This window comes from Homo sapiens, chromosome 1, assembly GCF_000001405.40.
Source record: "Homo sapiens chromosome 1, GRCh38.p14 Primary Assembly".
Lineage (NCBI taxonomy): Eukaryota > Metazoa > Chordata > Mammalia > Primates > Hominidae > Homo > Homo sapiens.
The window spans coordinates 46700511-46714037 of record NC_000001.11 but is presented as its reverse complement, the minus strand read 5'-3'; the positions used below and the strand labels follow the sequence as shown (position 1 = coordinate 46714037).

Below are 13527 nucleotides of genomic sequence, written 5' to 3'. Positions count from 1 at the left end.
GCTGGGGATTCAGTATGCCACAATTCTCTGCCAGAATCCTAACCTGGATTACCAATTTTTAGAGTATGATATAAGAAACAATGAGATATATACCCCATATTTATTTTTCCTCCTTTATAGTTGTCCTTGCAGTATTGTACAGTGTCTCTGAGGCCAATTTTTCCTTTGTAAGTAGTAAGCATAACTTGGAAATTAGGTTCTCAGAAACAGTGTTCAACCATAAGTAACCACTGAAGACACCTGTCTGTGCCGTCATCTCTCTGTAGTTAATTGGGTCTCCTAACTACAGCCCTGTAGTTAGTTAGGCTTGTAGTTCAGCTATAGGCTTGTGCTGTAGCTTGTTTTGATCACATATAGCAATTATTTATTTATATATTTCAAAACATTGCTCAATTCACCTATCCAGGGATTCCTTTTTCTGACTGCTCTGTACCTGTGTTTACAGGATACTTATGTAATTTATAGCTTAGCTGAGCTTTTCAGGTAATTTCTTTGGGAATGCAAATAAAGTACTACATTTTAAAAATGTAGTACTTGTACATATAATAGACCTGGCAATCAGTCAACAAATATTTATTGAACACTTGTTAATACCAATCCCTGGAAATACTATATTGTCTTCAGGAGATGTCAAGAATTATACCCTGGACTGCGGACCCTGCTTTCTACCATTGAGCCACATTCCCCTGGGACCCTAACTACATTTGTCAGCCAGCTGAATGAAGCAGATTTGGAATTGTCAGTCCAGCTGTTTTGTTGGCTTTGATTCGCTACAATAGAAATGCCAGCACCTGCAATGTCTTCCTGACATTGCAAAGCAGGACTTCCTGAGGGAGGGTAGGGAATGGGGTGTAGTCAGTCCATAGGCTAAACCATCATAGACTACTTAGGAGTTATTTTGTGAGAACCAATATCTTGACTAAATGGAACCAATCTTGTTAGGTTTAAATAATCTTTCTTTGAATTATGCTTCTACTTTAAAAAAAAAATTTTTTTTTTTTGGTTGGTTGGTTGGTTGTTTTTGAGATGGAGTTTTGCTCTTGTTACCAAGGCTGGAGTGCAATGGCATGATCTCGGCTCACTGCAACCTCTAACTCCCAGGTTCAAGTGATTCTCCTACCACAGCCTCCTGAGTAGCTGGGAATTACAGGCGCATGCCACCACATGCAGCTAATTTTTTGTATTTTTTTTTAGTAGAGACAGGGTTTCACCTTGTTGGCCAGGCTGGTCTCGAACTCCTGACCTCAGGTAATTCACTCTTCTCGGCCTCCCAAAGTGCTGGGATTACAGGCCTGAGCCACCACGCCCTGCCTAAATATATTTTTTAAGGTTAATTTTTTTTTCTTGTTTTTCAAGAAGACAGTGGGATTCACGAACTTGGATAAGACCACCTGCTTGTCTGGCTTTAATACCTTTTTGAGAAATCCAGAACTTCTTGATTTTATTTCTATAAATTTTCCAAGACACTTGCAAGGAAAGGAAGGATTGCTAAAATACCTGAAATAGAAAGCAAAGCAGATAGGCTTGGCCTTTTTTTTTCTTTTTTTTTTCTCGTCAAAGAGAAACTTGATCCTTAAGCTAAAAGTACTGACTGGCCCTGAAACTCTTAGCTCAGTATTCTTTTTTCCAAAACCAGATACTTCAAAAAACCTCCACAGTTATTCTAAGGAAGATTCTATTCTCAACCATCCTTTTCTGTCACTCCACTATGAAAGACTTGAGTAAATGAAAAGAAATTTGGAAAAGTATAAATAAATCAGGCACCTCCTTTTCTGGCCATACAGACAAAGTAGTGACTTGGTCATTTAGCACAGAAGTTAAAGATGGTCTTGTGCTAACGAGGGCATTAGGGAATATAGGTATCTGTGACCTCTAAAGTATACTAGAAAAAGTACTGGTCCTAGGAGCAGAAGGTTTGACTTTTTGAATTCTGGCTTTGCAAAACTAGCTGTAAAACTTAGACAAGTCACTTATTCTTTCTGGGCCTTCACTTTCTCATCTATAAAACATAAAGATGTATTTGTGCTACCAAAGCACTTTGGGCATTCCTCTGTCATAACATCGGTCACACTGTATAGTAATTCTGTGACCGTGCCTGGCTCCCCACTAGACTAAGAGCTTCAGGGTCTTTTGTATATACTAGTGCCGGTGCAGGGATGGACACATGGTGGGGGCTTAATAACAAGTTGTTGAATAATTAATACATAAAAGTTTATTGCAAACTGGAAAGACATTGTATAAATATAAAATATTGCTGTCAGCAATATGTTTACTATTTGAGTGGTATATGTTTACATTTTTCCATTTCCTCATCTTAAAGATTAGGAAATCAAAAGAACTAGGTAAATTCTTTTGAGCATTAACATACAAAATTTTAAGTTGTTTGCTTCCTTTGTTGGAAAAACATGAATTAGTAATCAGAAGTTGTTTGTTTGCTACACTTCCTCCCATTTATGTAATAAAAGTACCTCTACTTGACTTGTCTCTCCTAAAAAGCTCCAAACCAGATAATCATTGTGATCCCCTCTTGGCTCATAGAGTCCTCAGGATCCAGAATATTTTCAGGGCTGGTCAGCTTTATGTGTTTCTTAGTTAATAATTGTAACCCAGGTTATTTATGTATTTGTCTATTTCCTCTTCCACTCCTACCTCCTAGTTCATGCGTATAGACTGCAGGAAAGAGAGACTTCGCCCCTTGCCCCTTCGGGGTACCTGAGTATGGCAGATGTTTGTTGGATGAGTTTTTCTTTATAACCTAACTGAAAATGTATAGGAAATTCAGTGAAATGAATTTAGACTGGCTGGTAAAATGTTTCTACTGTATGAGATAGATAGATTCCTGTAAACCATGTGTAAATCAAGTGCTACATTAAAAGCACCTGCTGGGAACTACTGGGCAAAAGGAAATCAGTATGTGGAAGAAACATCCACACCCCCATGTTTATTATAGCATTATTCACAATAGCCAATATATGGAATCAACCTAGGTGTCCAACAGCAGATGGATGAAGAAAATGTAGTATATATACACAGTAGAATACTATTCAGCCATAAAAAGAGTGAAATCCTGTCATTCTCAGCAATATGGATGGAACTGAAGGACGTTGTTAAGTGAAATGAGCTGGGAACGGAAAGTTAAACACTGCATGTTCTCACTCATATGTGGAAGATAAGAAAAGTTTATCTCACTGGGTATGGTAACTCACGCCTGTAATCCCAACAACTAAGGAGGCTGAGGCAGAAGGATCACTTGAGCCCAGGGGTTTGAGACCAGCCCAGGGAAGCATAGCAAGACACCATCTCTAAAAAAATTAAAAATAGCTGGGCGTGGTGGCACAAGCTTGTAGTCCCAGCTACTCAGGAGGCTGAGGCAGAAGGATCGCCTGAGCCCAGGAGTTTGAAGCTGCAGTGAGCTATGATCATGCCACTGCCTTCCAGCCTAGGTAACAGAGATCTCATGTCTAAACAAAATAAAAATATATTTCAAAAAAATCTGATTCTATAGAAGTAAAAAATACAACAGAGGATACTAGAGACTGAGAAGAATAGGGGAAGAAGGGATAGGGAGAGATTGGTTAAAGGATGAAAAATTACAGCTAGATAGGAGGAGAAAGTTCTAGTGTTATGTACCACTGTAGCATGACTAGAGTTAACACTAGATAGTTCCAAATAGCTATAAGGAGGATATCAAATATTCCCGACACAAAGAAATGATAAATGTTTGAGATGATGGATATGCTAATTACTCTGATCACTATACATTACATGTATGGAAACATTGCTGTGTACCCTGTAAATATGTACAATTACCATATATCAATTTTTTTTTAATTTTAAAGCATGTAGGAAGTCTGTCATTATAATGAAGCCCTTTGGCAAACATTTTTGGAAAATGAATAAATATATCTCATTTCTTTTAATTATTCTGAATTTTCAGTAGTAAGCTTGCTTAAAATAAGGATACCACCATCACTCCTCATTTTGTGGGGGATCTTGTTAAATGTGTTTGGGTTTTTTATTTGGTTTTGTTTGTTTGTTTGTTTGTTTTTGAGATGGAGTCTCGCTCCGGCCGCACAGGCTGGAGTGCGGTGGCAAGATCTTGGCTCAACACAACCTCCACCTCCCAGGTTCAAATGATTCTCCTTCCTCAGCCTCCCGAGTAACTGGGATTACAGGCATGCCCCACCACGCCTGGCTAATTTTTGTATTTTTAGTAGAGACAGGGTTTTGCCATGTTGACCAGGCTGGTCTCAAACTCCTCACCTCAGGTGATCCACCCACCTCAGCCTCCCAAAGTGCTAGGATTACAGGTGTGAGCCACCGCACCCAGCCTGGGTTATTTGTTGAGGGTTTTTTTTGTTTAACTTAATAGTATAACATTAACTCCATTTCATACCCTGCAATTATTTCACAGAACAAGCATTTGAACCCTTCTGAGTACCTGGCTCTGTGCTGGCTGCTGGAAATGCATACCCAAGTTAGATCTAGTCTTTGTCCTCAAGCATCTCACCATTTGGTAGAGGAGACCGATGAGTAAAGTTACAGTACCACGTGTTAAGTGCATGGTAGAATTTGGAGTGAAAAGAGGTGCAGTGGTCCGAGTGTCCTGGCTGTTGGTGCTGAATCTTAGAAGGAATGAACTAGGCCAAAGTGGTAGAAATAAAGAAGAGACAAGCCAAGGGCATCTAGGCAAAAACCATAGCATGTGCAAGGGTCATGAGGCTTCAAAGGTTAGTGTGTCAGGAAGATCAGCTTGGCCACAAGTAGGTTGAAGAGGTAGGTAAAGTGATGAGAAATGTAATTGGAAGTTAAGCAAAGGTGAAATATTTATTCAGGTGATAAATATTGATTGAGTGCTTAAAATTTTAATTTTAATTAACATTTTAATGTGTCAGGAGTGTTCTAAGTGTAGAAGTGAACAAAATAGCACATGAACAAATGAACAAAATGTAGCTGACCATGTAGAAATGAACAAAATAGTCTTGGAGCTTACATTTTAGGAAGTTATTTTATATGGGTCTTTTATGCCAGTTTTTAGTTTTAAGGAAGCATATAATAACTAAGGCGGTCTGTGGCTTTAAAAAAAAAAAAAGGATGTAGGTTTTATTCTGGAGGACCAGCCATTATTAATATTTTATTTTCTATGAAAAGGGAAAATGCTCTTTAAAGAAAGAAGAGAAAGCATTGTTTCAGGCCTCTGCCTTCAGGCTGGCAAATCCCTAAACCATTCAGGAGCTATTGTTTCCCAAAAGAAAGGCCAAATATCATACTATACTTCACCTAGCATATTCTTTTATCTTCTATTTCATTTTGAGTTTTGGGGTGATTTAAGACTTAAGAAAATACTGTTTACTACTTATGAAAAAGATTAAAAATCTTAGCCCTCGTAACAGCATTCGAAAGGTGGTAAAACCTCCCCCTTGCAGTTGACTAAGGTAGAAAAAGATTTAAGCATTTAGAAATATAACTTATAATCTCACCTTGGGCATTAATGGAGTAGATTTATAAATCTTAATTGACTAATCTAAAAGCTCCTTAATTGAGCTGGTCAGTACTTAGCATTTATCATCTATGACCAGCTGTCTTAAGTGCTTTGCAGCCATTCTCTCACTTAATATTAACAGTCCTGTGAAAGTATATTTTATCGCTGTATTACAGATGAGGAAACTGAGCTCTAAGAATTTGAGTAATTTGCTCAAGATCATAGTGAGTCACAAAATTGAGATTCAAAGCCAACTCTTTCTGCTCACATTCTGTTATGATTTTTAGTTGGCTAACTTTTAAAAGTTGCATTGCCAGCAGTGAAATAGCCCCAGTTAAAATGGGAGCTTTAGTGTGAAAGATATATATTTACATAAATAAAAGAACAATGTCAGAATTAACTTTTATTAATCCATCTTCTTTCCTACTGTTTGATGATTTTTTCATCTTAGGACCATGAGGGCACTTTATGCTAGTTATGATTGTTCTTATTTTGTCTTTTTAGTGGAATCTAATCAGAAAAGCTCATTCCAAGAAATCCCCAAACTTAATGAAGAACTACTCAGCAAGCAAAAACAACTTGAGAAGATTGAATCTGGAGAGATGGGTTTGAACAAAGTCTGGATAAACATCACAGAAATGAATAAGCAGGTACTAAAAGTTTGATTTTTGCTGTGTAAGCTATGAATATTTGTTTGGTTGTTTAGTATGAATAGGATATAGAGAATTGTAGGTATAGGGAATTCATTTCAGTTTGTTTTACTTTTTGAAATGGGGTTTTGCATACTGTAATCCCAGCATGTTAAAGTCAGGTAAAATAGTTATGCATTTACCAGATATTTAAAATGTTAATCCTTTCTGCAAAAGAAAATAATTCTACTAAATACAGCAGTTGAGAGAAAGTTGGAAGTTTCTTGAATCACCCTTTCCTACATAGTAGAATAGGTGTCAGATAAAAAAGGAGTGTCATCTAACCCCCAAGAAAAGTAGATAACCCATTTTTATTAGCTAATGAGAGCTTATTTCATTTGAGTTTACAAAATCTGGAAATCATCAACAGTAGTCATTCTAAGAATAGCTTAGGAGTGGGTGATGGAGTTGGTTAAATACCTTGGTCAGTCAAATAAGCCTAATACAACATAAACTTTTCCAGTCCCTAAATTGACCAGAGTTGAGTAGGCATTGATTCCAGAAGTGGGACTCTGCCAGAGAATAAAGGCTTATTCTAAGGATGTTGATCAAGCATCTTGTATGTATAAGGATACCATATTTGTCACAGGGTAACTATAGCCCCATCCCTACTTTTTCCATTTAGTTAGGAAATGTATATGTGTAGAAAAGAAAAGTCAAGTACCAGATGAATGACACACATGCAAAGTGCTTAAAAATAGATATTATTTTTCTTGGGGCTGAGAAGGTATTGTCTTGTTCAGAGTAGAATCACAAAGTTCAGAATGAGCCAGTAGTGACAAGGAGTGCTGTGCTAGAAGAAAGTGCTTGCAAATGTATCTGAAGCCACACCTTTCAGCAATGGTCCAGGAGTGGGGCAGTTCAGCACTTAAGACCAATGATAAATAGTGTGGGGCAGTGACTTCCAAACTTTTGCCTGGAACCTGCAGTAAAAAATGTTTTACATCATTACCCAGTAAACGCATACATACCTATTTGTAACTGACATAAACGTTTCTGAAACAGTAGCTCACTCTTAATGTGTATGGTGCCTTATGACACTTTCCATTCAGTTCTATTTAATCTTTCAAAATTATTCATGAAATAATTCATGAGTTACAGCCGTCTAGTATTTACCCTCTGTCCTTTACCTTTGGACTCTAAGTAATTAGAGAAAAGCAGGTATTCACCCCTTTTTTGCAAAAAGGATGGGAGAAATTGGCCTTGCCTAAATTCACACAGCAAATTACATCAGGTGAAAGTAGACCACATTGAAGCACTGAAAGATAATCAGCATCTCTCCTGGGGCAAACTGGGGATTCCATATAGGTAGCCAGCCATGCAGTTTACCATTCTGAGAGGAGGATGATACCGTTCAGCATGAAAAGGCAAAGTCAGCTATCTATTTTTCATCTCGTTCTTGTAAACTGACATTATAGGAAGAGTCAAAGGGGATATTGGTACATGGTGGGAGAAAACACATAGATTTTCAAATCTTTGGTACATATGTTGGTTTCTGAGTTCTCTTTAACCAGGAAGCTAGACACAAAGTAATCATTTTATTCTTAGCCTGCCATTATTTTTAATGCAAGAAGCACCTGAGAAGGCAGATACAGTAAATCTCAATGTCATTGATAGGTTTTTGGAAACTGTAAACTTAAGTAAATGGCATATAATGAAACCAGTTTTATCATAGGCTAATTAATATAAAGAAGACTTAAGGTCAGGTGTGGTGGCTCACACCTGTAATCCCAACACTTTGGGAGGCCAAGGTGGGAGAATCACTTGATCCAAGGAGTTCCAGATCAGCCTGGGCAACAAAGCAAGACCCTGTCTCTAGAAAAAAATAAAAATAATTAGCCGGGCATGGTGGCGTACACCTTTAGTCCCAGTAACTGAGGAGTCTGCAGCAGGAGGATTGCTTGAGCCTTTGAGTTTGAAGCTGCAGTGAGCTGTAATCGTGTCACTGCACTCTAGCCTGGGCAACAGAGCAAGACCCTGTCTCAAAAAAAAGAAAAAAAAAGTTAAATTCCTAGGGCACATTTCTGGCCACAAAAAAAAATCACTACACTTCTAGATAAAGACCAAAACACATCTAGTATTCAACATTGAAATAAACGTGAGCGATACATACATTTACAAAAGATGAATAAAAGCAAGTAAAATATTTATCCGTTTATTTCAGCGCAGGATCGGGTCATGAGTGGCCAGAGCCTATCCTGCTTAGGGTACAAAGCAGGAAACAGCCCTGGACAGGACGCCACCCCCATCGCAGGGCTTACTCATACACACGCTCACACTCAGACTGGGACTGTTTACACATGCCAGCTAACCTAACATGCACAGTTTTGTGATGTGGGAGTACCTGGAGAAAACCCATGCCAACATGAGGAGAACATGCAAACAGACAGTGGCCCCAGCCAGGAGTCAGATTTTTTTCCCATCAACGTTATAACCAAATGACATTGGACAAAATATTATTCAAGAACCTGCTATAAATAGGAAAGTTTGCTTCTGTCCTAGGGCTTCATCTATGAAACTGGAAGAGATTGCAGTGAAACCCTTTCCATTTCAGCATCAATATGCCTTCAAAGATGCTGGGACTGACTTATGAAGCCAGCCTGATAACAGAGGACTTCACCATGAGCGCAGGCCCAGAGCATTGGTGATGGGAAAGCAGAGACTTGTGTTGTTTCCTAAGGGAGCTCAGCACTCTCTGTCTGAGTGGTTTTCTAAAATTAATGTTACACATCTCTGATGGTCTGTTGAAGTCAGAGGCATCTGTCCTAAACCAAAGTAGGTAGAAAAATTAAAGTAATATTTAACTATGTTTCCATATCTAAACATAACTGTCACTTAAGATGCTTTTAGTGGCAGTTGTTTTAGAAGCAATTCAAACTGGCTCAAACAAGAAGTGTTATTATATCACTTAACGAGAACTGTTCTTATCACAATGTAAGTTGAAGTTAATATAATCTGAAAAAAAAGCCATTAGTTTGAAAAAAAAAAAAGTTAAAATCAAATCTTCCCTTGAAAAAGCTTTAAATTAGTAGTTGAAATCTAATTTACTTTTCTGTTTTATTCATGAAACCTCTGGTTTTATACTCATTCCCTCTTGACTGTTATAGGGAGTCTCCTTCCTTGAAGACATTATTCAACAATTACCTAGCTGCTTTTATGGAGCTAGGCTTTGGATTCTGTCTAAATCCATTCGGGCTGCTATAACAAAATATCGTAGACTACGTAACTTAAAAACAACAGGGGCTGGGAAGTCCAAGATAAGGCACCAGCAGATTTGGTGTCTGGTGGAGGCTCATTATTTCATACATGGCACTTTCTTGTTGTGTCCTCACATGGCAGAACAGAATGGGCAAACAAGCTCTCTGACCTTTTTTTTTTTTTTTTTTTTTTGAGACACAATCTCACTGTGTCACCCAGGCTGGGGTGCAGTGATGCAATCACAGCTCACTGTGCAGCCTCGACCTCCCAGGCTCGAGTGATCCTCCCACCTCAGTCTCTGGAGTAGCTGGGACTACAGGCACGCACCACCATATCTGGCTAATTTTTTTTCTTTCTCTTTCTCTCTCTTTTTTCTTTTTTATAGAGACAGGGTCTCACTATTTCCCAGGCTAGTTGCAAACTCCTGGAATCAAGTGATCCTCCCACCTTAGCCTCCCAAAGTGCTGGGATTACACATGTGAGCCACTGCCCCCAGTTCCCTCAAGGATCTTATAATCAGATGGAGGAAATAGAAAAGTAAACAGTTGTAAAGCAGCCTGATAAGCAAAAAGAAATAGGTCCAAATGAGTATTGTGAGGGCATTTTTAAGTATGTATCTCACCTAGATTGGAGCCAGGTGAGATTTCCTAGAGATCTTGAACTGAGTCCTGAAGGGCAAATAGGAGTTGGCCAGCTGAATTCTACAGAAAGAGAGAAGAATATTTTAGGTAGAACATTAGTGCAGTTGATCCTCATAATTTATCAATTCTGTACTTGGTAAATTTATTTGTAATCTCAAAATCTATACTTGTGGCACTTTTGCAGTCATTCATCAACACATGCAGAGCAGCAAGGAATTTGAGTCACCCAGCATGCATATATACAGCTGAGTTTGAACAAGGTGACATGCTGCCTTCTTGGTTCAGCTCTCATACTGTAAACAGTGTCTTTTTCACAATATATTTAATGCCATATTTTTTATATTTTTGTGCTGTTTTTGGTGATTTCCATGTTCAAAAATGTCCCTCAGCCATAGTGCTAATGTGTTGTCTATTGTTCCAAAGTGCAGGGAGACTGTGATGTTCCCTATGGAAAAAATACATGTGTTAGATAGGCTTCTTTCAGGCATGAGTTATGGTTCTGCTGGCTGTGGGTTCAATGCTAATGAGTCAACAATATGCATTAAATAAGATGTCTTTAAACAGAAATACATATACAACAAGGTTATGTATTGTATTGATCAGTTTAAAAAAATTGAGCAGGCCGGGCACAGTGGCTTATGCCTATAATCCCAGCACTTTGGGAGGCCGAGGTGGGTGGATCACGAGGTCAGGAGTTCGAGACCAGCCTGGCCAACATGGTGAAACCTTGTCTCTACTAAAAATACAAAAATTAGCCAGGCGTGGTGGCGAGCACCTGTAATCCCAGCTACCTGGGAGGCTAAAGCAGGAGAATCACTTGAACCCGGGAGGCAGAGGTTGCAGTGAGCTGAGATCGTGCCATTGCACTCCAGCCTGGGCGACAAGAGCAAGACTCTGTCTCAAAAAAAAAAAAAGTACGAGCAGAGGACTCACAGGAACCTAACCTGTGTTTCCCCAAGGAACAGTTGTTCAATATTCACTAATTGAATGTTTTGTTGCAAGTTTTCTAGAACATAACTACCACTAATAATGAGAATTGACTATATGTGCAAAAGTATAGATGAATGAAAACATGGTGTGTTCAGGGAATTTTAGTCACTCATTATAGCTACAGTATGGTTTGGTAAAAAAGGCCAGAGATAAGTAAGTCAGCAAGAGCCGTATCAAGAAGGACCTTGAGTGCCCTTCTCCTATAGTACTCTGTGTAGCTCTCTTTTAGCACTCAGTCCAAATACCTTATGTGATGCTTATTTGCATATACTTCTAATTGCACTAGAAAGTTGTACACTGTACTCTAAGCCTTAAGCATGATGATAAAGAAAACGATGGCAATGATGATGATAACGATGATGGTATTGACGATAACTGCCATTCATTAAATGCTTTCTTTGTGCCAGCCATTATTAGGTGCACTGCACATGTGATCTCCTTTCTTGGCTTCTACAGTCCTATGAAGTAGGAGGTGTTCTCTCCATTTTACAGTTAAGAACACTGAGGTTCAAAGAAGTTAAGTAGCTTGTCCACAGTCACTCAGCTGTGTAGCAATACTAAAAGTAAAATATTCAAGTCCTGGAAGCCTCTCTTCTTTCCAGCTTCCCATGCTGCGTTACATCTTGGTAGCCCCTGTAGGATTCAGTAGGTGCTCAGTAGATAAAGCTGAAAGGATATGATGCTGAGTCCCTGCTAGGACTAATAATCACTCATCATTGATGATTGTCTGTTTTAATAACTTTTTCTTTACTATTTAAAGGACACTTAACTTCAACCCCAAAGCAAAAAAGCAGCATTTCCAACTTCATAGTATAAAATGATGTATTAAGCAAATGGTCTACTGTAGCTATTTTTAATTTTTCTAATGAAAAGTCATGTAATATGCATAAAAGTCATGACTCATCTTTTGGCTGGAATATGGATTTTTCTTAATGGGTTCTATTTAATTCAACTTTTTAGACTCTGAATTCCAAAGTGTGACTTTTCTAATGCCTGAATCTGATCTGACATTCTAGAATGCATCTGTTAGAGGCCAGAGCAATTCCAGAGAAAGTAATGGGAGGGTGCCTCATCTCCATTTTAGTTACATATATAAGCTTTGCTATAGCTTTCCACAGATGTTGGCATTATTTTACTGAAGAGAGAAATGCTAGAAGACGGAATCCAGCTTTGTAATTTATGGGTTAAATAGCCAAGTCCTAGGGAACAGTGGGTGATCCAGGTTTTATAAGTGAGTAAGAAGACCTAAGTGATGTTTGGTACCTGGAAAGTTAATGGTCAGCTCTCCAGAGCATGCTTTTGCAGTGAGGCAGCTGATACACTAGGCATAGAGTGTTTGCAGCACAGAGAAAAGTGCAGCAGCACCTCACTCGATCCTGCTGGCATTGGCTTTCAGCTGCTTCTTAACTTTGGGTGAAACGGCAGCTGCCAACCAGTCACACTGGCTTTTTGTGAGACCACTACCATTCCCGAGATACTTCTGATTAGCCATGCACTCTGCCATAGCCTCAGGAGGTTGGAACTTTCAGTACCTGGAAGAAGAGTTTTTACCCAAAGAACAGCTTCTTCCTTTAGGATCTGGCCAGTTGTCAGTGGAGGAAGGTGTTTGTCCCCTCAGGTGGCTGAAAGGTAACTACATAATTGATAAGAGTATTAGGAATAACTATAGTCTTGCCCTTCAAACTGATCTTGAACCAACTGTGTACATACTTTGGGGCACTAAGGAAAACATACCTGGGGCAGGAACCCTTCCTAGCATTTTATGATTGGGCATGTTACAGTGGTCTCAGAAAGCCCCGTGAGGGCATGGAAGAAAGGGTCAGCCAAGAAAACCCATCAAACCCTTTGCAAAGTTATGTGGCGTCTTTTTCCTGTGTGTGTATTTCTTTCTCATCTTTTGTCTTTTTAAAAATTTCTTAAGTAATTTGTGAGTGGATTCTTATATAAGGTTTAAACTATAAAACACATACAGAAATCCTATGAAAATTTTCCTTCAATTCCCATCTCTGTGTTCCCATCTCACATGCACACACACACACACACACACACACTCACTCACTCTCTCTCTCTCTCTCTCTCTCATGCCCCCATAGGTGTCCAGTCAGTAATGTGGGCTTCATCCTCCTAGTTCTCTATTTACAAAATCATAATAGTTTTTAGTATGAATTAGCCTATGGGTTAACATGCGTGTGTGTTTGTAAATAAATAAGGTCATTCAATATATGTTCTGCAGCTTGCTTTTCCACTGAATATATGCACATTCTTAGTGATATACATTTAAATTGTTTCTAGTATTTTGCTGTTACAAATAAGGAAAAATTATTTTAAAAAATATATCATGTACATGAGCTATTTTATAAGATTTCTAGACATGAAATTGCTAAAATAAAGAATATAAACATTTCAAATTTTGATGGATATTCCTAGATAAACTTCTTACAAGTCTTCTCTAATTTATACTCCCATAAGCAGAGCATGAAAATGCCTGTTTCTATATGTCCTTTTCAAACCTGGATATCATTCATAT

At 38.5% G+C, this 13527-nt stretch overlaps 1 protein-coding gene across 1 annotated transcript in view; it reads left to right on the top strand.

The window, feature by feature from the left end:
• The window catches only part of EFCAB14 (EF-hand calcium binding domain 14), a 43956-nt gene that overhangs the window by 5077 nt on the left and 25352 nt on the right, over nt 1-13527 (top strand). The window contains exon 3 of the mRNA NM_014774.3: nt 5987-6132. Within this exon, the coding sequence (NP_055589.1) occupies nt 5987-6132 (146 nt within the window). The remainder of the gene's footprint in view (nt 1-5986; nt 6133-13527) is intronic.